Source organism: Homo sapiens, chromosome X (genome assembly GCF_000001405.40).
Source record: "Homo sapiens chromosome X, GRCh38.p14 Primary Assembly".
Taxonomy (NCBI): domain Eukaryota; kingdom Metazoa; phylum Chordata; class Mammalia; order Primates; family Hominidae; genus Homo; species Homo sapiens.
The window spans coordinates 27,984,974-28,010,667 of record NC_000023.11 but is presented as its reverse complement, the minus strand read 5'-3'; the positions used below and the strand labels follow the sequence as shown (position 1 = coordinate 28,010,667).

Below are 25,694 nucleotides of genomic sequence, written 5' to 3'. Positions count from 1 at the left end.
ATTTTAATTATAATTCTGCCAACATTTTTTAATCCAGAGGCTTGTCATCTTTGTTGTTTAAACAATTTTTGAGCTTGAGAAAGGGAGGATTGTATTTTTCTCCTCACTAAGTTGGTGTATTCTATTTTTGGTTGTTAAAATAGTCGTGGCCTTGGGGTTTTTAATTGGTAAACCACCTAAATGTATGTTATCTGTGTATATATACACACAAACACACAGAGAACTAGAAGTTTACTTTAAACTGTAAACTGCTTTGATTATGGATACATTTGTGTTCTTTGCTTCTTGTATTTTCAGTTTTCTACAGTACACATATTAACTTTAAAAAGCCGGAAAAATAAATACTATTTGTTAAAAATTCAGTAGGTATAGTTCTTTTTTACTTCTCACATCTGCTGTTCTTGAAGAGAAATAGTAGTTTGTCTTAGCATTTACCCCCAACTTAATGGCCCAGTTTTTCTCTGACTGCTTATAGGACTTTTGGTCATTTCACTAGGATATATGTTAGCACTGATATTCTTTATGAATTGTCTCAGTACACAGTAAGCTCTTTCAGATTCAATATTGGGTCTTCTTTCATTATAGAAAAACTTACATTTTTTAAACACTTATTTTCTGTTCCAGGTATTTTTTTTAACAGACCAGCCACTATACTTGCTCTTTACTCTCTCCATAACTTTACCAGTACTCACTTCTAAGCCACTGATTCACATCTTTGCAACATTGTTTTTGCACTTCTCTAGTTTGTGTGCATTTTAGATTTTTGTGTGTTTTATCTTCTGTTTAATTCCTTAACTCTAGAAGTTTTCTTTTTATTTCATCCTGTTTTTATACCATCTTGTAATTCATAACCTTGTTCTCCTAGATGAAGCTTTCTTTTTAATTTGCTTGAAACTATGAAGGGTTGTCTAAATTGTTTTTGTTACCTTTTTTTTAAGAAGAATACTTCTAAGGTATGCTCCACTTCTCTCTCTTTTGCCAGACTCCCTTCCTTCCTTCCTTCTCTATTCTTCCTCTCTCTCTTCCTCCACTTTGTCCTCCTCTCTTCTCCTCCTTTTATAATTTTACATAATTCTCAGTTTGTTCTGTTTCTTCTATTATTGCTGAATCAGTGTGTGAATAACATTTAAAAAAAAATTGCATGTGATATGGTTTGGCTCTGTGTTCCCACCCAAATCTCATTTCAAGTTGTAATCCCCATGTGTTGAGGGAGGGACCTAGTGGGAGGTGATTGGATCTTGGGGGCAGTTTCTCCCATGCTGTTCTCGTGATAGTGAGGAAGTTCTCAGAGATCTAATGGTTTAAAAGTGGCAGTTTCCCCTGTGCACTCTCTCTCTCTCCTGCCTCCATGTAAGACGTGCCTTGCTTCCCCTTTGGCTTCTATCATGATTGTAAGTTTCCTGAAGCCTACTCAGCCATGTGGAACTGTGAGTTAATTAAGCCTCTTTTCTTTATAAATTACCCAGTCTCAGGAGTTCTTTATAGCAGTGTGAAAATGGACTAACACAGATAACTGGTGCTGGGAGTGGGGCACTGCTATAAAAATAACCTGAAAATGTGGAAACAACTTTGGAACTGAATAACAGACAGAGGTTGGAAAAGTTTGGAGGGTTCAGAAGAAGACAGGAAGATGTGGGAAAGTTTAGAACTTCCTAGAGACTTGTTGATTGGTTTTGACCAAAATGCTGACAGTGATATGGACAATGAAGTCTAGGCTGAGGTGGTCTCAGATGGAGATGAGGAACTCATTAAGAACTGGAGTTAAGGTCACTCTTGCTATGCTTTAGCAAAGAGACTGGCAGCATGTTGCCCCACTCTAGAGATCTGTGGAACTTTGAACTTGAGAGAGGTGATTTAGGGTATATGGCAGAAGAAATTTCTAAGCAGCAAAGCATTCAAGAGGTGACCTGGCTTATTCTGAAAGCATTCATTTATATGTATTCACAAAGAGGAGTTTTGAAATTGGAACTTATGTTTAAAAGGGAAGCAGAGCATAAAGGTTTGGAAAATTTGTGGCCTGACCATGGGGTAGAAAAGAAAAACCCATTTTCTGGGGAGAAATTCAAGCCAGCTGCAGAAATTTAGATAAGTAATGAGGAGCCAAATGTTAATAACCAAGACAATGGGGGAAATGCCTCTAGGGCATGTCAGAGATCTTTGCAGCAGTCCCTCCCATCACAGGTCTGGAGGCCTAGGAGGAAAACATGGTTTTGTGGGCTGGGCCCAGGGCCATGCTGCTCTCTGCAGCCCCAGGACATGGCACCCTGCATCCCAGCTCCCCCATCTCCAGCACTGGCTAAAAGGGGCCAAGGTACAGCTTAGGCTATTGCTTTAGAAGGTGCAAGCCCCTAGCCTTGGCAGCTTCCATGTGGTTTTGGGCCTGCAGGTGTGCAGAAGACAAGATTTGAGGTTTGGGAACCTCCACCTAGATTTCAGAGGATGTATGGAAACACCTGGACATCCAGGCAGAAGTCTGCAGCATGAGCAGAAACCTCATGGAGAACCTCTGCTAGGGCATCACAAAGAGGAAATGTGGGGTTGGAGTCCCCACGCAGAGTCCCCACTGGGGCACTGCCTAGTGGAGTTGTGAGAAGAGGGCCTCTGTCTTCCAGACCCCAGAAAGGCAGATCCACCAACAGCTTGCACTATGTGCCTGGAAAAGCTGCAGGCACTCAATGGCAGCCCATTGAAAGCAGCTGCAGGGGCTGTACCCTACAGAGCCACAGGAGCAGAGCTGCCCAAGGCCATGGGAGCCCATCCCTTGCATCACCACGGCCCTGGATGACATGGAGTCAAAAGGAGATTATTTTGAAACTTTAAGATTTAATGAGTGCCCTGCCGAGTTTTGGACTTGCATGGGGCCTGTAGCCATTTTGTTTTGGCCAATTTCTCCATTTTGGAATGGGAACATTTACCCAATGCCTGCACCCTATTGTATCCTGGAAGTAACTAACTTGTCTTTTATTTTACAGGCTCATAATCAGAAGGGACTTGCCTTATCTCAGATGAGACTTGTAACCTGGACTTTAGAGTTAATGCTTGAATGAGTTAAGACTTTGGGGGACTGTTGGAAAGGCATGATTTGTTTTGAAAAGTGAAACTGACATGAGATTTGGGAGGGGCCAAGGGCCGAACGATATGGTTTGGCTCTCTGTCCCCACTCAAAATCTTATCTTGAATTAAATCCCCGCATGTCGAGAGAGGGACCTAGTGGGAGATGATTGGATCATGTGGGTGGATTTCCCCATGCTGTTCTCATGACAGTAAAGGAGTTATCAGGAGATCTGATGATTTAAAAGTGGCAGTTTCCCCTGTTGTCTCTCTCTCTCCTTCTACCTTGTGAAGAAGGTGCTTGCTTCCCCTTCACCATCAACCATGATTGTAAATTTCCTGAGGACTCCCCAGCCATTTAGAACTGTGAGTCAATTAAACCTCTTGTCTTTATAAATGACCCAGTCTCAGTTATTCTTTATAGCAGTGTGAAAATGGACTAATACAGCATGTATACAGATATTTTTAAATGCTAGATGGGAGAAATCTCTCTGGACTTTCTCCTTGCACCAAAATGATATAATCAAATTCAGTTTGGCTTTCTTCACTAGCTACTTGGACACTATGAATTTTCTTCTTTGATATGAGCTGAAGAGCTGAAAATAGATGGATAAAAAATGTTATGGATTGGTTGAACTTCTAATGCAAGCTTAGACTATTTCTTTAAGTCATTTCACACATTATATCTTTTCACTGCACTAGGTTCTATGAGGAGACATTCTGCCTAGTTTCTATGAGGGGGTATCCCCATACCTAAAATAGACTTTTTATATTTGGATATATTAGTAAATGTTTTTCTTTCTTGTATGCTTATTTATTCTATATCATTCTATTTAGAAGTGGAGCCCAGAATTTCTTTGTCAATACAATCAAAATTGTTAAAAGATATTGTCTAAGCTTGGAATTTAAATTTTGACTTCCTTCTTTAGTTTAGAGCTGATTACATACTCTCTTATTTTAACTTCTTTTTATTCCCTTCAGTTAGTTTTCAAGAAAAAGTTTTTTTACCTTCATGGACAGCACCACTTATATATTTGCCATCATATGTTACTATATGCATTGTAATAAGAACTATATTTATAAAATGCTTACAATATGTGTCATGCACAGATCTCTGCATAATTCTGTTTTAGACAATGGATAACTTCATTTTTCAAAGGAGGAAATTGCTACTCAGAGATAATAAAAAAGTATCCTTGTCCACCCACTGACAGATTTTTATTCCAGATTTGTCTACTTACGGCTGGTGAGATTTGTTTGTTTCTGTTTGGTTTGCATGATTATTTCTATGGTGTGCTACCTTTAGCCAGAAACAGAGATACAAAAGTGTAATCTTTACTTGACTTTATCGTTATGGTCCAAAGGCCATGTATAAAATCCTCAATAATATCAGTTCATCTATGGTTTATTTTGATAAGCTTGCTAATACACGTGGATTATACCTGTTCACTATATCTACTCTATGCTTTAAATGATCATTGGATTCTTGAGGGCAAGCATGTCTCCCTATAGAACTTAGTACAGTGCTTCACATCTGAGTCTGTTGAAGTATAATATTATTGAACTGAGATGAAAACTTCAGAATGAATTCTTGGTGATGCACTGAGGCAGGCATTTTCGCTGCATCATCAGCCACATAAAGACAAGAACAAATAAAGATAGCTACAAAAATACAAGAACAATTTTACCTCCATGTCTTAATTTTATGTGAATACATAACTCTATAGTTTTAATTAATTGAAACATATTAAAATAAATATGAAGTAGTTATGAAATGCATAAGATAAATATGGAAAGTTTGGTTTAGGGTCTACTAATTAAGCTCAATTTCTCTTCTTCCTAGTGGAAAACTGTAAAATAAACAATTTATCCATTAGCAAAGACCTGCCTTAATTTTTAGCCTGAATTGTGAAAAGGCAGTATGAGCCTTTAATTCTGTCATTTGGACAATAGTAACATATTCCTTGGTCTACATGAAAATGGTTAAGGAATACCCTATTGAAACAAAAACATTGTAGTGCCTCTTAATATCTAATACTACAATTTCTCCTTCTATGGGTATTTTGAACATTTGTTAAATGTATTTCTGCTGATTTTTATTTAGTACCATTTGATATTAAATAATAGTGTTTCATCAAAATCTCAAAAATCACTACTAAAAAACTTACTCATGTAACCAAATACCAGCTATCCCCCCAAAACCTATGGAAATACAAAATTTAAAAAAAATTTAAAAAGAATTCAGCCATCGACAACAACAAAAAATTGGTGTTTCAAATTTTTTAAAAATTCACACTTATCTTTCAGTTAAATTAAGCCAGATTTCTTTTTATTTATTATGGAGAAACTAAGTGTTTTCTTACTCTGTTGCAATTCAGAAATTCTGATTAGCATTTATGAGTGAAATACAAAATATCTTCTCAAAAATTAATTTACCTATTAAGATAGCTTTGGATTGGTGGGTGAGAACAGTAACACACCCTAATAACATTCTCACAGTGGGTGTAGATCTGGAAAAAAAAACTACATTGTTATCAACAATAGTAACTCTCTATGATGTGCAGTTCAACAAAATCATCCTTAGTATGAATGCTGTGGATCTGAGAATTAAGAATATAAAAAGTGTGTTTAAAAGTCCATGATTGACATATTGGCTAGGTGCAGTGGCTCACACCTGTAATTCTAGCACTTTGGGATGCCCAGGCAGGCAGATCACAAGGTCAGGATTTCAAGACCAGCCTGGTCAACATGGGGAAACTCCATCTCTACTAAAAATACAAAAATTAGCTGGGCGTGGTGGCGGTCGCCTGTAATTCCAGCTACTCTGGAGGGTGAAGCAGGAAAATTGCTTAAACCTCGGGGGCAGAGGTTGAAGTGAGCCGAGATCATGCCACTGCACTCCAGCCGCGGCGACAGAGCAAGACTCCGTCTCAGGAAAAACAAAAAAAATTAATAAATGACTGACACATGAAAAATGAAATGCCAACTAATCTTTTTTCTTTGTAACCTTGTCAATTACTCTCCCGTTATCACAGTAGTCTGTGCATATTCAATAACTGGAATTTTAAAAATATCATATATGATAATTTAATTATAATTTTTCCAGTTTATATTTACCTATTTTGACTTCTGTATGAATAATCCATTCAGAATGTTAAACAGAGCTATTTTAGTCTCATTTGTGTCTGAAGCTACAAGAAAATAAGAACAAATAACCTCCTATTCTGAAGCATGAGAAAACCATCTATGTAGGGCTTGTAAAGAAGAGTGTGAAACACAAGTTTTAAAATGCTACTTGCTCACCGACTTCAGCATATATACACGGGTTAAGGTTGCAGAAACAGGGGTAATAGAGAAAGAATTTCATGGAGAAAGTTGAGAGGCATTTTATCTTCCCCTTAATGGCAGGAATGAATCTCTGGAGCTCAAATTACCAATGGGAGTCAAATAGTTGTGGAGGAGAAGGCTACAGTGTAAACTGCATCAGGGACAATAAACTCCTTTCCTTCTCCCTCCCTGGAAATCCTCATAGATTTTTGCTGATGACTCTGTTTCTCATTGTTCATAGAGTCAGGATTTAAGTTATTTTATACTATCTTAAATGAAAGGATAACACCTAAAACAAGGTGTTATTTCATAGGAGCAGGTACATCTGTTAAATTTAAGAAATTGGAGATTAAACATTAAATCTCTTATTTGGCAGCCTAATGTAATAAACCTTTAAAAAGAAAAAAAAGTTACTATTATATTTTTCACCGAGACACTGGTGGATCCTCATAACCCAAAATGGTCATATTGTACTTGACCAAGTAAGTGCCCACAGTTGCCCATTTCTTACCCTCCACTTTGTCTTGACCAAATTTTAGTTAGGCTTCTCTCTTTCCTACAGGACCCTGAACTCTGATTGCCCTAAAGCCTTAGCAAACACTAAAAAATGAAGTGTGCCCCCGTTGTCAGCTTATCCTGGGAATCAGCTGACCATAGCAAGGTACTTTTCCAGGCAAGCCACATTGATCATTTCCCCTTGTTTGTCCAGCTTCCCTTTAAAAGATTGTGCTTATCACTGCTTGCCCCTCCTTTATACTATAGAAGAAAAACCTTCGGTTTGATTCTGAGACACAGATTTCCTAGATTACAGTGTTCTCCCTTTTGCAATAGTATTTCCTTCTAAATAAAGTCTCTCTTATCTAAGTCTGGTTTTATTGGAGATACTTGATGCACCTGAAAGTGTTTGTGTGGGGAGAATGGAAACGTATGTTCATGTTGGAGGTAACAGAAACCCAATGCAAAATACTTTAATCAAAAAGGTTAATTTATCAGTGCTTGGAACTAAGAGTTTCAGAGGTGCTTTTGGCTTTGAGTAGAGGAAATATTCACAAGATCAAATTCCCTTATCATGATATTTTCTTTCTCCATGTTTTGGCTTGGCTTTCCTCTTTATTTCTGCAGAAAGCTCTTCCCATACAGAGATAAAAATGACCACCAGCACCTTCCTGAAGGAGTCTCAAATAAAGACTTCCAAAGTGGAGCAACAAGAAAGCTTTTATTGCCTGGTGGTAGGAGAGCCAGTCTTAAATGAGATTGCTGTGCCTTCTAGCAGTTAGCTGAGTGTTTATGTGTTATAAGCACTCAGGTGTTTAGGAGAAAGGGAATAAAAAACTATGTGATATATGGGGCAAAACAAATGGACAGTTGTTAATTTTCCGAGGTAGATGTTCTACAGATAAGCAATTCTGAGAAAGTACATACTCCTGTTCAAATTTAGCGAAGAAAATGGACAGTTTAAGAAAGTCTAGTTTTGTGTTTAGCAGGAAGACCTATTGCTTTAGGCTAGGAGCTTGCAACTGTTAGTGAAGAGGTAGAACAAAATGTTAACCCTTTATAACCTCTAGGCCTAAATGGCCTCATTAATCAAATCAGTACACCTTTTTCCAGGTAGCTTCATCAAAAGTTCTGTGGATGTAGGCTGTCATTGGCCCACCTTGGGTCAAGTACTCTTCCCTTAACCAATACCTGTAAACTGAGAGATACAGAAATCTCATCAATCAGACCTAAGCCAAGTGGCCATCCACAGGGAGGGAGACAGAGTCAGCCCTACCTGAATCAAAATCTCAGAATGGGCAAGAGGTTACATTCTATTAACAACCTAGATGCCTGCTGAGAAAGAAAAAAGCATCCCTAACAGGTGTCATATGGTAGCTGGCTATGGTCTTCTCTTGATGAACATGAACTCACAGAAGACTAACATCAATTGAGTTCAGTTTGTATCCACAATGGAGTGAGACAAAAACATGACCACTCTGTAATCATGCCGGAGCTCAGATAGAAACAAGAACTCTGCAAACAAACAAAAAAATATGCACGGGTATGTTCATTGCAGCGCTATTCACAGTAGTAAAGACATAGAATCAACTTAAATGCGCATCAACGGTAGACTGGATAAAGAAAATATGGTACATATTTTCCTTATGGAATACTTCTTTTTTCTTTCTGGAATACCGCATTGCCATGAAAAAGAACAATATTATGTCCTTTGCAGCAACATGGATGGAGCTGGAAGCAATTATTCTAAGTGGACTAACATAGGAACAGAAAACCAAATACTGCATGTTCTCACTATAAGTGGGAGCTAAACATTGAGCACATATGGACACAAAGAAGCTAACAGCGGACATGGGGACTTACTTGAGGGTGGAGGGAGGGAGGAGGGTGAGGATCGAAAAACTACCTTATCAGATACTATGCTTATCATCTGGGTGGCAAAATAATCTGTACACCAAACCCCTACAATATGCAACTTACCTATATATGTACACCTGAATGTATATGCACATGTACACCTGAACCTAAAAGAAAAGTTTTTAAAAATTGTCCAAACTTATCCCTCTCCCAGCTTATAAGAATGGCTGCTGCTTTTTTACCCATTACAGTCCCAGTTCATCTTTCACGCCTCTTGGATAAAAATTATTAAGGTACCTGTCACCAAATTGCCTCAGATTTCTGACAGCACCCAATCCAGGTAAAATGTCTGCTTCTTTGAAAATTTACCAAAAGCACCTCAGGCCCTAATCTTATGATAAGCTCCTCCTACTAGCCTTTTGTAGACATGCCACCTTGTTGGGCAGTTTTCCCTGTTACAGCAAGTAATAACTCCAGGTGTGTTTCCTTATGGTCTTTGGCTAAAAAGCATCAAGACTATTACACTCCTGACTTAAGAAATCTTGATTTCTCCTCAATGACCACTGCCTTTGTGCATGGAAAAACCTAAAAAAGCATATATTTATACTGAATAAGAACAAGGAGGCTTGGGGTGACAGAACACACATAGCCTCATATTCAGGACAGCATGATGATGCTACTGATATTCAGCTTCGATTGTTATTTTCTTCAGCATCGAATAATATAGTTTCCAAAGCAATCCAGTACTCTCATTGAGACAGGGACTTAAATGATGAAGCATTGCTTGAGGTTACATCAGAATAAGATAAAGTGTTGGTAAGCAAAATTATTTTTCAATGCTTTTGGAAATCCATTTTCAAAAGGACAATTATTGCTTTGCATTTTCAAAGGCCATGCTAGAAAAAGTAATAAACAGGTAATTTTCCTTAAAATGTTAACATTTTGTTTACCAACCCATCTTCGCTTTGTCAGAAGGCACATCTACCTAGAGGCATCGACTGTTGTCCTGCTGCTTCTCAGATATTCCAGACATTCCGCAGGCTGAACAGCACTCCATTCCCATGATATTTCCTTTCATCTCTCCTGGCACCTCTTCCTTCAGGGTTCTCTGCTAAGGGGAGATGCAAATTTAAGCAGAAAGGTTAATGGCTGTTAATAGCTAAATGTGTTTCCTTTTTAGAGGTAAAATACTATCACAAAAAAAAATGGCCTCTGTTGTGGATGGCCTGAGTTTTAATTCTTGTACTTTTGGGTACAGGCTTTGCGGGGCAAGTCATTTATTCTCTTAGAACCATAATATTTTGCAACTGACAAAATAATTCTGTTTCATTTAAGCACTTTCTGAGGGCCTCTGATGCTTTCAGAACCATGGATGACCACTGAGTTTACAACTATGCCACCTGAATTTGAGAATCTCACATTTGTTTTGTTCTTGCCTCACAAAATTGTTATGGAACTCAAATTAGACCATTTATATGAAGACATTTGGACAATTCTGTGTTATCATTAGGACAGCAGCATTTAAAAAATTTCCTTCATTGTGTTGAAGCACAGGAACAGGTAGGAGTGGGCATTTCAGGGAAAGAAATGGGCTAAACATGAAGAAATCTCTGGTCAGAGGTAACTTGCTTGGTGGTTTAAAGTTAATTACAAGAAAATTACTGTCCAAACTGAAGAATTGTTTTCTCTATTGTTTTATTCCCTAATATGTAAACTAAAAAGCTATTCTTTCCTTCCCGTCCATATGGAAGTGTCTTATTCTTTGCTTCTAGTCTGCAACACCATTAATGCTTTGGAGAAGGACAAATGAAATAAAGCATAACCCCATATTAGTTTCTACGCTCTGTAACAAATTATCACCAATTTAGCAGCTTAATACCACACATATTTATTATCTCACAGTTTTCATGGGTCAGAAATACAGGTTTCTTCTCAGATTCTCACAAGACGTCAATCAAGGTGTTGACTGGGCTATATTCTTGTCTGGAGGCCTGACAGGAAAAAATCTGCTTCTAAACCATTTCAGTTTGTTGGAAGAATTAATTTCCTTGCACCCGTATGACTGAGGGTCCTGAGGTTTTGCTATCTGTCAACCAGAGGCTGCCTTTAGGTTCTAGAGCAAGTTTGTCCAACCCGCGGCCCACAGGTAGCGTGAGCCCGGGACGGCTTTGAATGGGGCCCAACACAAATTTGTAAACTTTCTGAAAACATTATGAGTTTTTTTTTTTTTTTTTTTTTTTTTGCAATTTTTTAAAAGCTCATCAGCTATCATTAGTGTTAGTGTATTTTGTGTGTGGCCCAAGACAATTCTTCTTCCAATGTGGCCCAGGGAAGCCAAAAAATTGGACACACCTGTTCTAGTTCCTGCCACATAGGCTTTGTCAACACGGCCACATACTTTTACAAGTCACCTCAGGGAGGACCATCCTAGACTCATTTTAAAGGGATTCATCTGATTAGGTCAGACACATCTTGGGTACTCTCCCTTATGATTATTTCAGTATATACTGATTTGGGATCTTAATTACATCCACAAAGTCCCTTCACCTTTGCCATATTTTATGGCTAGAGCAAGTCACAGGTCCTATCCACACTCTAAGGGAGGGGATTATAAAGGGCATGAAATATCAGAGACTGGGAATCATGAGGGTCACCTTAGGGGCTGTGCACCACAGTCCTTAGAAGAAATCAAAGAGAAAAGTTTTTTTTAACAATCTAAATTCGCTCTATTCTCAAATCAAATGCAGCGTACCCTTTACTTAACTTATCTATTACAGTTCTTTTTGTTTTGTAAGCAGCTTTAGGAAATAGAACTGTATCTCCACAGGGGAGATAGGCAGTGCACGCATGCAATGGATGGAGAGTAGGAGGGCTAGTTTGATGATATTAGCGATAATAATACTTAACTATTAACTATATGTTATGGATTGTTTTAAGTATTTCACATAAATTTTCTCACTTAATCTTCACAGCAATCCTCTGCAGTAGTTTATCTTATTATGCAGAGAAAAAATGAGATCATCTGGAAAATCAACATAGGAATGCCTAGTAATCTGGAAGATCAACTCAGGAATGCCTAGTAATATCTGTGCCCTTGGTGCTTAATGTGGTATGTAAGTGGTTGTTCAATCCAGATTTGTTGAGCTAATATGCTGAAATATTCATAATCAACATTTGGAATCTACAATACTTACATAGTCATTAAACTAAAGGTTCTTGGCAACTTGAAATCAATAAAAAACAAGCTGGTTGTTAGGTTTTCTAGGATTCTGAACTTGACTCTCCTTTTTCACTTGTTGAGAACTTGAGATAATCACCTCAAATTCCCAGATTCCCATAACCTTTCCTTTAAAAATAAGGATGTGAAGCTGGATCATCTGTAAGGTTGTGTCTATATTTAGGTAAAACACATTCAAAATGCATGGGGAATTTTTCACACAGAGTCTGTCTAATAACTAAAAAAATTTCCAAATACATTAACTATATATATTTACAGTAGAAATAATGCTAAGCGAATGGAGTTTATATTTGAACAAGAGTTTTGCTACTAGAGAGACCTAAGTTTGCATTCCAGCCCCAAAACTTATTAGCTGCAAGTAACTTTGCCTCTTCAAACCTAAATCTCCTCCCCTTTGAAACTGAAAGAAAAGAACTACCTTGCCAACCTTTTTTGGGATTCAATTAAAATAACTTACATAAAGCAATTAGTGTAATATCTGGTGCAGTGATGTTGCTCACTTTCTCTTCTCATTTGAAAAAAATAAAGAAATAAAAGAACAATCTAAAAATACCACCAAATGAATTTTATCTTCACATAGCAATTCAAACTTTGAAAACATAAACTTCTGAAATTTTCATTTGGATGTTTGTAAACATATAACACCCCACAGTAGATGTGTGTGTGTGTGTGTGTGTGTGTGTGTGTGTGTAAAGATATTGTGTGAATAAAGAAGTTCCCTTGTTAGCCGAATGAATCTTATAAGTCGGAAGACTTGAATATAAAATGTTTCCCTTGGTGGTTATAAAGGAAAGTCATGTGTGCATTTCTGAATGTTCCATTACACACACTTTAATTGCAGTGGTATTTTAATTGCACAGTGATTGCAGTTTTATAAGCAAGACTTATAAAAATAGTCTATGCTATACTATATTGAATGAAGCATTCCAGCATTTAAGAAGATGATATAAATAAGGGTTGTAAACTACATTAAGCTCTTTTTATAAGGTGATTGCTCTTTAATTCCAACTTCACTGCCCACAGGCTGAAAACTGTTGGAGAATGAACACTGTAATTGACTAGCATGGGAGATTTTTAACGCTTACTTTTAGTGTTGAGGGAAATCAGTTTTTGCACATCTTCTGAACTGAGCTAAAATCTCTATCTAGAGCATTCCTATTAACTGTCCATCTTATCAACTTGCTTTTATATGTTTCTTTCTAATTTCTTTGTGGGATACCCTTGCTCACATAATCAAAAATAAACATGGATATGTTATGCTTTTAAGATCAGATATGGTTTCTTTAATCACTCTTTTGTGACTATTACAGGTATTAAGAAAACACATGGTTGAAAGATTATCTTTTTAGAAGTCCTATGCCCACAATATCTGCCTCAGTCTTTTCCCATGTCCCTTTGTTATTAATTCCTTTTCCATTTCTGGCCCAAAATATATTCAGAGAAATTGAAATTGCTATGAATAACACACTGACACAGACAGATTTGTTTAAAGAAATTGAAAAGCCTGAAGGACACAGTAGCTGTTTTTCATCTGTGGTCGCTCTACACAGGACCACTTTATAAATGAGCAGCTTGCATTTATGAGACTCTAGCCATCAGAATAGTTCAGGATTGAACCAGCTTTGCTGAAACATAATACAACTAGTTGTTGGAACTATTTTGCTTCTGAATCTACAGAATTAACTAAATCTGCTTCCAATGTCCTACTTAGCACGTATACTAGAAATTCTTTGGCTTCTAACTTGAGAGTACTGTTTGTACATGTTTTAAGTTTGTTTTCTCCTGTCCTGCAATGTGAATTGAAAAAGCATAGCATGAACAAATGTGTTTCTATTAGTTTCCCAATCTTATGAAATAAAGAAGTTGGGAATTAACTGGCTTTTAGGGCTTTTTTTGAGTTATAATCTATGATTTTATCTTTCTAGGATCCCATATTTTTTCATCAGATAGTTGAAAACAATTGATACCTTTTATTTCTTTTCTTATTTTCTCCACGGGCCAAATTATCTATAACATGCTTACTTGATTAGTTAATGAGATTGGAAATAGATACATAAAATTGTATCACTTCTTTCCTTGAAAACAATTGACAACAAAAATCATGGAAAAATAAAGAAGTAAAAAATCAAATGATGAAACAAATAAACAAAAGAAATCATCAAGTCCTCAATGAATTAGAGTAAAATTTGGACCAAACCAGATAAAATCCTCAAAGAGGTTATTTGCCTTTTCAGTCATCAGGCATCTAACTTGCAGAGCCGTTCAGAAGTTGGTGATCTTCTAAACTGGCGATCTATCCACTGAACCATAACTACATGGACTTTAGACAAGTTATAGACGTGAGGCAGAACTCACATGATGCCAAGAAATGTCAGGGAAAGGTAATAATCAAATTAGACAGACATGTCATCATGAGAGAAAGCAGATTTTCATCATGGCTGAGGATTTAGCTCTATAGTTGCTGATCTTGGTTAGCTGAAGAGTGGTGGGAGAAAAATCACCATATAGAGACTCACTGAAGGGCTGGATTCACTGAGAGTCAGGCCTCCTCACAACTGGTAAGTGGAAATACTCTCAGCATTGAGTGTCAGAGACAAAGAATTTTAATTCTGTTGCTCTAAACCTAAGATGCTTACTTTCTCAACTCATCTCCTGGGTACTTCTCCCTCATTGTATTTAATTAAAGCTTGGTTGTAGTAGATATGTTTGATTGGGACTTAATACTCATTTCAATATCATTTTAGTTTGTTCTTCTGTGCTTCAGAGTTTAGAAAGCTAAAAGCCCTATTTTCTAGCTCCCTTGTAGCTAGGGACGTGAAACTTATGTACGTTCTGCCAATTAGATGCATTCATATGAATTTTGGAATGAGGAAGTGTTGTTTCTATTTTTTCTGCTGTCAAGCTAGGTCATGTTCCCTCACACTCCCCCGCAACATTCAGTGTTAGTTCCTAGCATTCAGGGTGTCAAGAGGCAGAATATGGGACATCTATTTTGTGCTGGTGTGCATCTGCATAGGATAGCATGGCTATAGGGTCAGGAACTGAAGCCACTTAATGACCAATGGATTAAAGCTACAATGATATGTACTTGAAGTCAACGTAAAAGAAGAGCTAGTAACTCCACTGGAAGATCAGTTCTGTGTTGCTTATCATGGAATAATGCCTGTCAGACCATTCCTTTAGCTCTTCTAATTTGCTTTAAATTTGTTCTTCTTAAATTAATTGGAGGCATTTCTGTTCCATATAACTGAAATCTGCTTGGACTGTTGACCCAAAGGCATTTACTTATTCAAAGATGAATTATAACTAGTATAGTTATAATTATAATATAGTTATAATTATATAATTATATATTTTATAATATAGTTATAATTATATATTTATATATTTTATAATATAGTTATAATTATATAATTATATTAGATAATATATAATATAGTTATTAATAACTATATTATTAAAGTTAATATATAATATAATATATATAATATAATTATTAGAATAACTAGAATTATACAATGGTTATAAAATTACTGAAGACAGGGGTCAGCAGGCTTTTTCTGTAAAGGACCAGATGGTAAATATTTTTGGCTTACTGGGCCATACAGTCCTTATTTCAACATTAATTTTATATAATTATAATATAGTTATAACTAATATAGTTCATAAATGCCCTTATTGTTTAAAAGTACTGCAAAAGTACTGCAAATAAATAAAAAGTTCAAAACATTAAAAATAAAAGACAAGGCCGGGTACAGTAGCTCACACCTGTAATCCCTACACTCTGGGAGACCAAGGCGGGCAGATCACCTGAGGTTGGGAGTTCGAGACCAGCTTGACCAACATGGAGAAACCCTGTCTCTACTAAAAATACAAAATTAGCTGGGCGTGGTGACACAAGCCTGTAATCCCAGCTACTCGGGAGGCTGAGGCGAGAGAATCACTTGAACCTGGGAGGCAGAGGTTGCAGTGAGCTGAGATCATGCCATTGCACTCCAGCCTGGGCAATAAGAGCAAAAGTCTCTCTCTAAAAAAAAAAAAAAAAAAAAAAAAAAAGACAAAAACAATTTTAGAAAACAGTTACACACTGAATAACTACGCATTTTAAAGAAATCTACATTAAATCAAGGATATTAGAAAAAAAGGGGCTTCTCTGAAACAAAGGTTGAGATGCTATATAAGACTTCAAAGAAGAAAAATGAGAATAAAAGAGAAATATTAAGTTGCGGAGTGCAAAAAGAAAGAAAATTCATTGAAAGAGGATCAAATTTGGATCAATATATTAAGAATGGAAATAAACAAAAGAATGAAACGTCATTGAGTGTATTTAACTTACTTCTATTAATTCCTGTCCAATCAAGTAAATACAAATTTGAATGGCCCTCTAACATGTATACCAAAATCTGCACCCTAATATCAGTGACCATATCTTCATCTGAAATGCCTACATGACAAAATTTTACAAAATTGACTGTATGTTTGGTCACATACATTAATAAGAATAAGAAAATTATTAATTTTCTAAATATTAAAATATACCGCATTCTCTTTTAATGTAATAAAGCAATTTATTAATAATAAGAAAAACCACTATGTCTTACGCACGATATACATAAGTTTTAAACACTTTTAATTCTGTAAGAAAACAAAAATTAGAAGTCATATATAGCCAACAAATACTCATAAGCAAGCATTATATATCAGTACCAATAGAATATGGCTAAAGCAGTGTTCAATGTTCTAATAACTTAACATTTTAAATCTTAAAAACTGTGGCAGACATTGTTAGTTTCCTAACCAACATCTCCCTATTTCCTAATCACTTGCTGGCAGAAATTTCTTTCCACAATTTGGGCTTAAAATAGCAAATGCTTTGTTGGATAGAGTTAAATTTGCATGTGGAGCTGAGAACTGCTGTAGCTACCTAGAAAACATGAGTGGTGATAACTCTGATATGGCAAGAATGACAGACTAGAAAGATAGAGAATAGAAGATGATCCTTGAAAACATGAAGGAACTGCTGAATCAGCTGTGGAATCACCCTGCCTCCAGATTTGCTATGTGAGATAATAAATGCCCTTATTGTTTAAACTACACTTACGGTTATGTACTCTTTCAGCAGGAAGTGATACTACAAGCAAAAATGAAGATAAATGAATTTGGCTGGGCGTAGTGGCTCACGCCTGTAATTCCAGCACTTTGGGAGGCCGAGGCGGGGGGATCACCTGAAGTCGGGAGTTCGAGACCAGCCTGACCAACATGGAGAAACCCCGTGTCTACTAAAAATACAAAATTAGCCAGGCATGGTGGCGCATGACTGTAATCCCAGCTACTAGGGAGGCTGAGGCAGGAGAATCACTTGAACCTGGGAGGCAGAGGTTGCAGTGAGCCGAGATCGCGCCATTGCACTCCAGCCTGGGCAACAAGAGCGAAACTCCATCTCAAAATAATAATAATAATAATAAAATAAAATAAATAAATAAATACTCAATTTAAAATTTAGCAAGAGAGCAATAAAATACATATAAGGAAAGAAAATGGAGGAAACAGAAAATGGGAGCAACCTAGATGAATGTTTAGTAGACCCTAAAAGAAATACATATAATAAACAAACTGAAAGCTGGTTATTTGAGGGGGAATGGAGCAAATAATAACATAATCAACTAGCTAATTTAATTTTTAAAAAGAAAGTACAAATACATCTTGAAATAAAAATGAAAGAATAACAGTTAAGAAAAAAAGATAAGATCTTCCTCAAATAATTGCAAGGACCACAAAGTTACTTAATTGTGTATTTTAGAATATATTAATTATAGTAAGTTTATTCCAGAAGTAAACAATCTAAACATTACAATTCCATCAAGGAAATTGAGAATACTTTTAAAGAATGTGTCTCAAAAAGGTACCAAATCTTGGTAGTTTAACATAAAATTGCTAGGAAACCTTCAGGGAGTATAAATGCAATGATATTTAAACCGTAGAGTGTATAAAGAATAGGGACAGTTCCAAATTCTTTTCATCAAACCAGCATAATTTATATACTTATTATTCCTTACTCTTGTCTAATTCCATTGGCTAGTACTAATAGAACAAAGTAAAATCATTAAGATATGTATTAATATATTTCATCAAGAGAAAAAATATATATGATTCTCTCTGTAGGTGTCCAAATGGATTTCATCAAATTCAAAACCCAGTTCTAATTTGCGGAAGGGTAGGATACTTTTATACACTAGCAACATGGGAATACTTTAATATAAATATTAAAAGCCAAGTGTATGATTAATTGTGAAATGCTAGATGAAATTTTATCTAATTTAGGATTATAAAAGTATTTTTACTGTCATGACCATTATTTTGCATTGTTATTGTAGTACTAACCAATGGAATTAAGCAAGAGAATAGAATAAGAGATACATAAACTAACATGAAATAGCAAAAGTTTTATTATTTGGTAATAGATTCACATGCCTGGAGACCCAAGAAAATCAGCTTAAAATTATTAGAATAACTAGAATTATACAATGGTTATAAAATTAATGAAGGCAGGGGTCAGCAGGCTTTTTCTGTAAAGGACCAGATGGTAAAAATTTTTGGCTTACTGGGCCATACAGTCCTTATTTCAACATTAATTTTGTTTTTATAGCATTGAAAGTAGCCATAGATAATACACAATCAAATGGGCATAGAGGTTTTCCAATAAAGCTTTAGTCGCAAGCATATAAAGTGGACTGGATATGACCTGATAGCCTTAGGTTGCCGATCCTTGAATAGGTATAAGATCTTTGATTTGAACAGCACCCAGTTAAAAAATGTAATGAAATAAAACAATCTCACTTATAATAAGGAGAGAAAATAAATTAAATTTTAGAAATGTATAAGATTTGTATGAAAAGATTTGAAAGTTCAATTGAAGTAAGACTATTAGAAGCCTAAGATTGCTGTTAGCCTTGAAGACTAAATATATAAATATATCTTTTCTCCACAAGTTAATGTAGAAATTTAATATGACCCCTATAAAATAAACAATGTAATTATTTGTCATACGTTTAAATTTCATGTGAAATAAGAAAACTGAACAAATTACAGTTATTAAACTATATTTTCATTTGTAAAATAAAGCACAGGCAGAATAAACAAAACAGTGAGTTCAGAATGAGATTTCCAAAATATGAAAATTTAGCATGTATTAAATGTGGCATTTCAGATCAAGTAATTAATCAAAAACAATGTTTGAGGACAACTGGAGTGAAAACAGAAGTCATTAAAAAAATCTATTTAATAATTTTACACTGAGCAAGAAAGAAGCCAAAAAACTAGAAGCTCTAAAATAATTGACAAATCTGTTTAAACAACCAAAATAGCTGTGTCAATGATGCTTCTGCTGCTGCCGATAGTTGCAGATTGCTTAATATGTGCTAGTTGTTATTCTAAAAATTTAAATGGATTAGCTGCTTAAATCCTTCCAAAGACAAAATACTAGCCCTACCTCAGACAGAGGTTTTACAGATAGGGATCTGGCACAGAGAAGTCAGCTAGTAAATAGTGGAGGAATTACATTTTCTTTATGGCAAAGTAGAACATACACAGTTATCAAAATACAAATAAAACATGCAAAAATATTAGCCAGCTACATGGAGAAGGGGTTATTTCATTGACATATGATAAGTTATTTTATACTAATAATAAAAATCTACAAAACAATAAAAAATGGGCAGATGTAATAATGTACACTTTATAAAGAAAATAATGTGCAACGTATGAGCAGACATGTTAGAAGGTTCAAATTCTAAATAGAAGAATAAAAGAATAAAAAGTTGCGGTACAGATTTTTATTATAGTAACAGAGATCTGAAAGTTTGTAATTCATTGAGGTATTTGGTGAGAAAAAAATGAAAGAAAAGAATCATTTGAAGTGCAATTTGGCAGTATTTTACTTATCCTACACATACATTTATAAACATGATAAAAACACACTAAAATATGTAAAATCTTTGCCATTTCAGCATTACTAATTAATAGCTAAATCCTGAAATGCACCTAAGGGTTGTTTTAGTCATATTTTATTTTAAAAAAATTATGATAGCTACAATTGCAATATTAGCTATTAAAACAAATATAGATCCTGTCCTTACACACTGATATTGAAGCACATAAACGATATTCTAACAAAACATAAACAAACTGCAAATACAAATGTAAAAAGTGTGTATATTACTCATTTAAGTAAATTTTTTTTTTTAAATATGGATATATGCTAGGGATATTTCCAGAAGGTTCACAAGAAATTTATGATGGCTCCTGTAAGGAAAGAGGGCTGTAAGTTTGTATACGCAACTGTGTGTGTTTAGGACCTTTTTATCATGTTTTTTCCCCAATAAAATAACTTAAAATTATGCTAAATATCCTAGGTGCAAGGATAAATACAGGTAAACATAGTAAGAAAATAGATAAAGATATACAAAAATAGTAATATAACTAACAATTACACATATGGATTTGGGCAGTGAAAAAGGACTTTTTGAAACAAAGAAACTGTTATAGAATATAGATATACCTTTTGTGTATCTACAGAGATATACTATATATATATGTGTATATATATATACACACACAATAGATATACAACATACATATATCTTTTGGCAATTTCTTTTCTGAAGAAGTAAATTTATGGAAAATCAAAACTTCTACTGATAAATAGCAATTCTGAATAAACTTTAGAGATTATTTTTCTGAAGTTTTTATATCCTAATACATACATATGTATAATTTTTCACTCATTAAAAATGTGATGAATATAGGAATAATTTCTATTTATGACAATGCCATAAAACACTGTGCTCCTATTAATGAATCTGAGGACAATTATTTGCCTGCAAAGGATTTTATTATTTTTTCTAAAATAAATTTTAACCCAGTAGATTGTCATGGTATACTCTCCCTTCACTTACTACTTTTCTTCTCTTGCCACCAGCTAGAAATGAAATATCATAAGCATACTTAACAAACATGGGATGAACACAGAATATTTTTCATTAAATAGAGGGTTAAATAATACTGCTTTGTCTTAACCTTATATTTAATTCTAGCTGTTTACACTTTAATAACATTTATAGCAATTACCACAGTTGGATTATATCTAGACTTTGCATGAGGGAATGTGTAAAATAATTTAATAGCAAGAACTTAGTCTGATTATGTTTAGAAGTTGGTGGGAATATTTTTTCTGTTCATTTTGGTTTGAGTAATGGCAAATTTAAGAGGAAAAGTTAACAATGAATAGAGGAAAAGATTCATTGTAGTAACTAAAATAAATGCAGGGGACATGATCTTGTTCCCTATTAGCATGGACATCAAAGCAAGTCATCACTGTAAAAACCAAAAGGTAAGGGAGACACCCTTTCAGGCTAGTCATGAGTATAGAGAATAGAGGATATTTAGTAAATATTAATACATGTACTTCCTAGGGATGACAATGTGCATTTAATATATTCACCACTTTATATCACATTGTTTTGCAGAGATACAGTACTTAATTATTCAAAAGGAAAAGGAGATGGTTTTTACTGTGAAAAAACTTATTTAAGGATATAGATAATATGTAATTACATACTAACAAGGAAGCACTTCAACAAATATATACATACATGCAGTTTCAGCCCAATTACTGTGATAAAATTAATTTATTGAGTACAAAGTGGTAGATCCTTGATTAAAAATATCTCCCAAAACATAAATTAAATCTTCATCAATAAAAACAAAAAAGTTATAGAGAATGTCAATTATAAAATGAATCAAACAGAACTATTTTTAACCATTAATCACTAATGAACAAATGACACAAAGAAATAACATTTGTAGAAAAAGGAGGAAGTGATGTCTCACCTTTTGTTTGTCCTGGCCCCCCGCTCACTAAACATTATACTTAATTTCATGAGAAAATGAATACATGAAGAAGCACCTGTTATTTCCATGCATGTTTTGGAAAAGAAAATAAAGCTATAATAATAGGGTACCCCCATGGAAAAAATTATCAACATTAGGTAAGTATGGTTATTGGCCCCTTTTTGCTAGTCTTTCATAAGCATAAATTCTTTCTAATCTGTAGGGAATTTAACTTTTCTTGGTATCAGTTACTAATCTCACATATTAATTAGAGGGTTCCTCCTAAGTTTCAATTCTAAGTCTTTTCCAGGTCTAACATTCTATGGTGCTCCTTGTTATCCTTTGCTTGTGCTTACAAAGTCCATAAAGGTGTGACAGAAGAAAATAAATTTGAGGATCTATTGCAGAACATCAGAGGGTCATGAAAATGGAATCTAAAAGAAAGTTTATACTTCAGTTTTTCTTTGTTATATTTCATTTCATATCTCTTCTAGGCTGTAGGAGATCAATCAGAGTGGTGGGGGAAACTATAGGGAATGGAGTAGGCCTTCTGAAAGGTCAGAAGGCTCTCCAAAGCTTTAGGGGAGAATAGCTGAAGGCAGCTGTTTTCTAACCCTGAGGCAGAGGGCGAGGAGTATGTGCAAGGAAGTAAAGGGGAAGTTATCTTGATCAGGCTTGTTTGTTTGAAGTTGTCTAGGAACTGACCTTTGAACATCCACCTGTGTGACATTCCCTGAAAGGGGAACAATAAATGTTAATTACCTGCAGGTTGTGTATGCTCCAGGCTTTCAGCATTGTGCCTGCACTGAATAAAAGCAAGCAGCTCCAGCTTCTCAGGGCTGAACTTTGGCCACTAGAGCCAGGCAGTCCCCTAGCTGCTTTTACACTGCATACTGTGTCTGAGTACTCATTTCATCCGTTGGTTGGCTAGGGTTTGTGGGACAGACTGGCACTAGGCATCACTCTCCTTTTGCTCTCTATGGTCCTCTCAGCCTTGTCTTTACTTAACCATCAGGATCTAGGTCCTTCAGATGGGTAACAAGGCTCCCTAGGTACTAGGTTACACCACTGGCTATTTCTAGAAAGAAAACAGATTCTTACTCTTTGTTACTGGAGGGATTTTAGATCCTTTAAATTTTTCAGAGAGGACAAAGCCACCTTTCTTTTTCTAATATTGTCAGCTATTCATAACATAACTGAAACGCATTATTTTATTTTTCTTTCTCTGCCTCTTTGTGATTTTTTCCTAAGGATACCACACCCCTTCAGGAATCAAGAAAAAGACAAAGGATAGAAGAGGTGAACTAGAAGGACAGTTTCATGATGCAACAGAGAATTTCATGGATGTCTCACCATATCTCTTGATTACTCACTATATTTTGAAAAGCTTTCTAATAGTACCAACCACATAAATCATGAAAACAACTGTCTCACAATATGCTTCTTCAAGAAGTTTGCAATCTAATAAGAAGGATCTACCATGATGTAGGTAAAAATAGTAAGGTAATTAAATACATTGTGTAACAAAATGAGGATAAAAGCATCTTGAGACTCTAAAGTTGATAAGATCACAATGGTTGTCATAAAAATTCTTTGACTTATATGGGAACAATATTCCATATAAGTCCCATATATTTCCGTATATTTCCCAGCTCCTCAACTAGATATCAGAAGTTTCTCAAGAGCAACAAACATCCCTTTTCTATTATCCTTCCTCACCACCTAGTAGTGTCTCCCACATAAAAGATGGAGTAAATCTGTGTCGATCAATCAAAACATGCCACTGCAGTATACTGATTCCACTGTGAGATGGGGAAGATCAATGGGATTTTTGCTCCTCACTTATTTTGTATTGAAAGGACACTCAAGGCTCAGGTTCAAATTTCAAGCTACTGCTACCCAAATAGAGCTAAAATTAAAAGCTCAAAACCCCACATGGCAAATAACTACTGACATGTACTTCATAAAATTGTATCTGTGCATTAACAGAAATTTCTGTCAGAAGCTAAATTAGACATACAAAATACTATGAACACTGGATACATCATGTGTATGTGGAGCTAAGTGGTAAGGGAAGACAGATTACATATTTTTTGAGGATTCTCCTTGTACAATTAGAAAGCACTTGCATTTAACCTCTGATAAAGTCTAAATGGTTCCTTAAGGTATGTTTTTTCCTACAGAAATATATTTTCTTTCTGTATTTATTTTTACTTTTATTTTTATTTTTTTTGAGATGGAGTCTCACTCTGTCGCCCAGGCTGGAGTGCAGTGGCGCCATCTCAGCTCACTGCAACCTCCGCCTCCCGGGTTCACACTATTCTCCTGTCTCAGCCTTCCAAGTAGCTGGGACTACAGGTGCCTGCCACCACGCCCGGCTAATTTTTTGTATTTTTAGTAGAGACAGGGTTTCACCGTGCTAGCCAGGATGGTCTCGATCTCCTGACCTCGTGATCCACCTGCCTTGGCCTCCCAAAGTGCTGGGATTACAGGTGTGAGCCACTGCACCTGACCACAGAAATATATTTTATTAATAGAACATTCCAAGATGTAACTTAATGAGTTAGGGCAAATGTTGACGAAAGGGAAAGTTTATACAGGTATGTGTTTACTAAAATTTTAAATAAAAATTAACAAATCAATTCAACAAATGTTTACTGCACGTCTACTATATAGAAAGTACTGAATTAGGTGATGGTTTTTAATTTTTTTTTTTTTTTTGCCAGGATCTCACTCTTTTGCCCAGGTTGGAGTGCAATGGTGCAATCTCAGCCCACTGCAGCCTTGACCTCCTGAGCTCAAGTGATCCTCCCGCCTCAACTTACTGAGGAGCTGGGCACAAGTCCCCGCACCCAACTAATTTTTGTATTTTTGTAGAAATGGGATCTCTTGCCCAGGTTGGTCTCGAACTCCTGGGCTCAAGCTATCTACCTGCCTCAGCCTCCCCAAATGCTTGAATTACAGGCATGAGCCACTGCTCCCTGAGAGATGTGCTTTTTAAAAAGAAGTAAACAAAATGTCAAGGCAATACCATAAATGTCAGTGGGAAAATTTTATTAATACTTAAAATTTAACTCTGTACTATTAATATTGTTTTGCTATGGAATATGCTGCAGGTTCCACCATGTCTTATTTATTAGTTTGTTGAGTTTTTTAATTAAAGAGTAGAATGACATACAAGACCTTTTATTGTTCTTTGCCATTTTTCTTTCTTACTATTTTGAAAATAATATCTTCAGACAATTTTTCATAAAAAATTTGATTATAAAAAGAAAAGGCAAACATATGTGGTAATACTTTTAGTGCACACCTCACAAATGTCAAAGCTTACTGAACTGCTCACAATTTTATTGTTGTTAATGAACCTTTTAGCAAACCACAAAAAAAATTACCTCCTGATTCAAAATCTCTGTTCTTAGCAGAGGCCTAACATGGATACTATTTAAAATTTGTGGCTGCATAGTTTTAAATATTTGATGTTCAAGAATGTTTCCTGCTGACCAAATAACTCTTCCTCTCAGAAACATGGGAAGGAAAAATGGGAAAGATAAGCTGAGAAAAGCAAATTGTTCTTAAAATAAAACAGCTGGCTGAATTAAATGGAATCAATTATACTTTACATCTTACATTGAAATGCAGTGGTTAGTGAAGAGACAATAATATTATGATGATTTAATTTTAACATGAGATTCTCACAAAACATGTAAAATGTACAAATATTACAATTATCAAGAAATACATGTTAAAATTTTAACCCTCTGGGTTGACAGACTGTGTCACACTGAAACTTTTCAGTGACAGTAGAGCTAGAAGAAAATGTGAAGGTTATCGTTTAATG

General features: G+C 35.4%; 1 long non-coding RNA gene across 1 annotated transcript in view; it reads right to left on the bottom strand.

Annotated features, from left to right (window-relative positions):
• The window catches only part of LOC105373151 (uncharacterized), a 67,568-nt gene that overhangs the window by 40,784 nt on the left and 1,090 nt on the right, over window positions 1–25,694 (bottom strand). Inside the window, exon 2 of the long non-coding RNA XR_950539.2 lies at window positions 9,716–9,841. This is a non-coding gene — a long non-coding RNA (uncharacterized LOC105373151). The remainder of the gene's footprint in view (window positions 1–9,715; window positions 9,842–25,694) is intronic.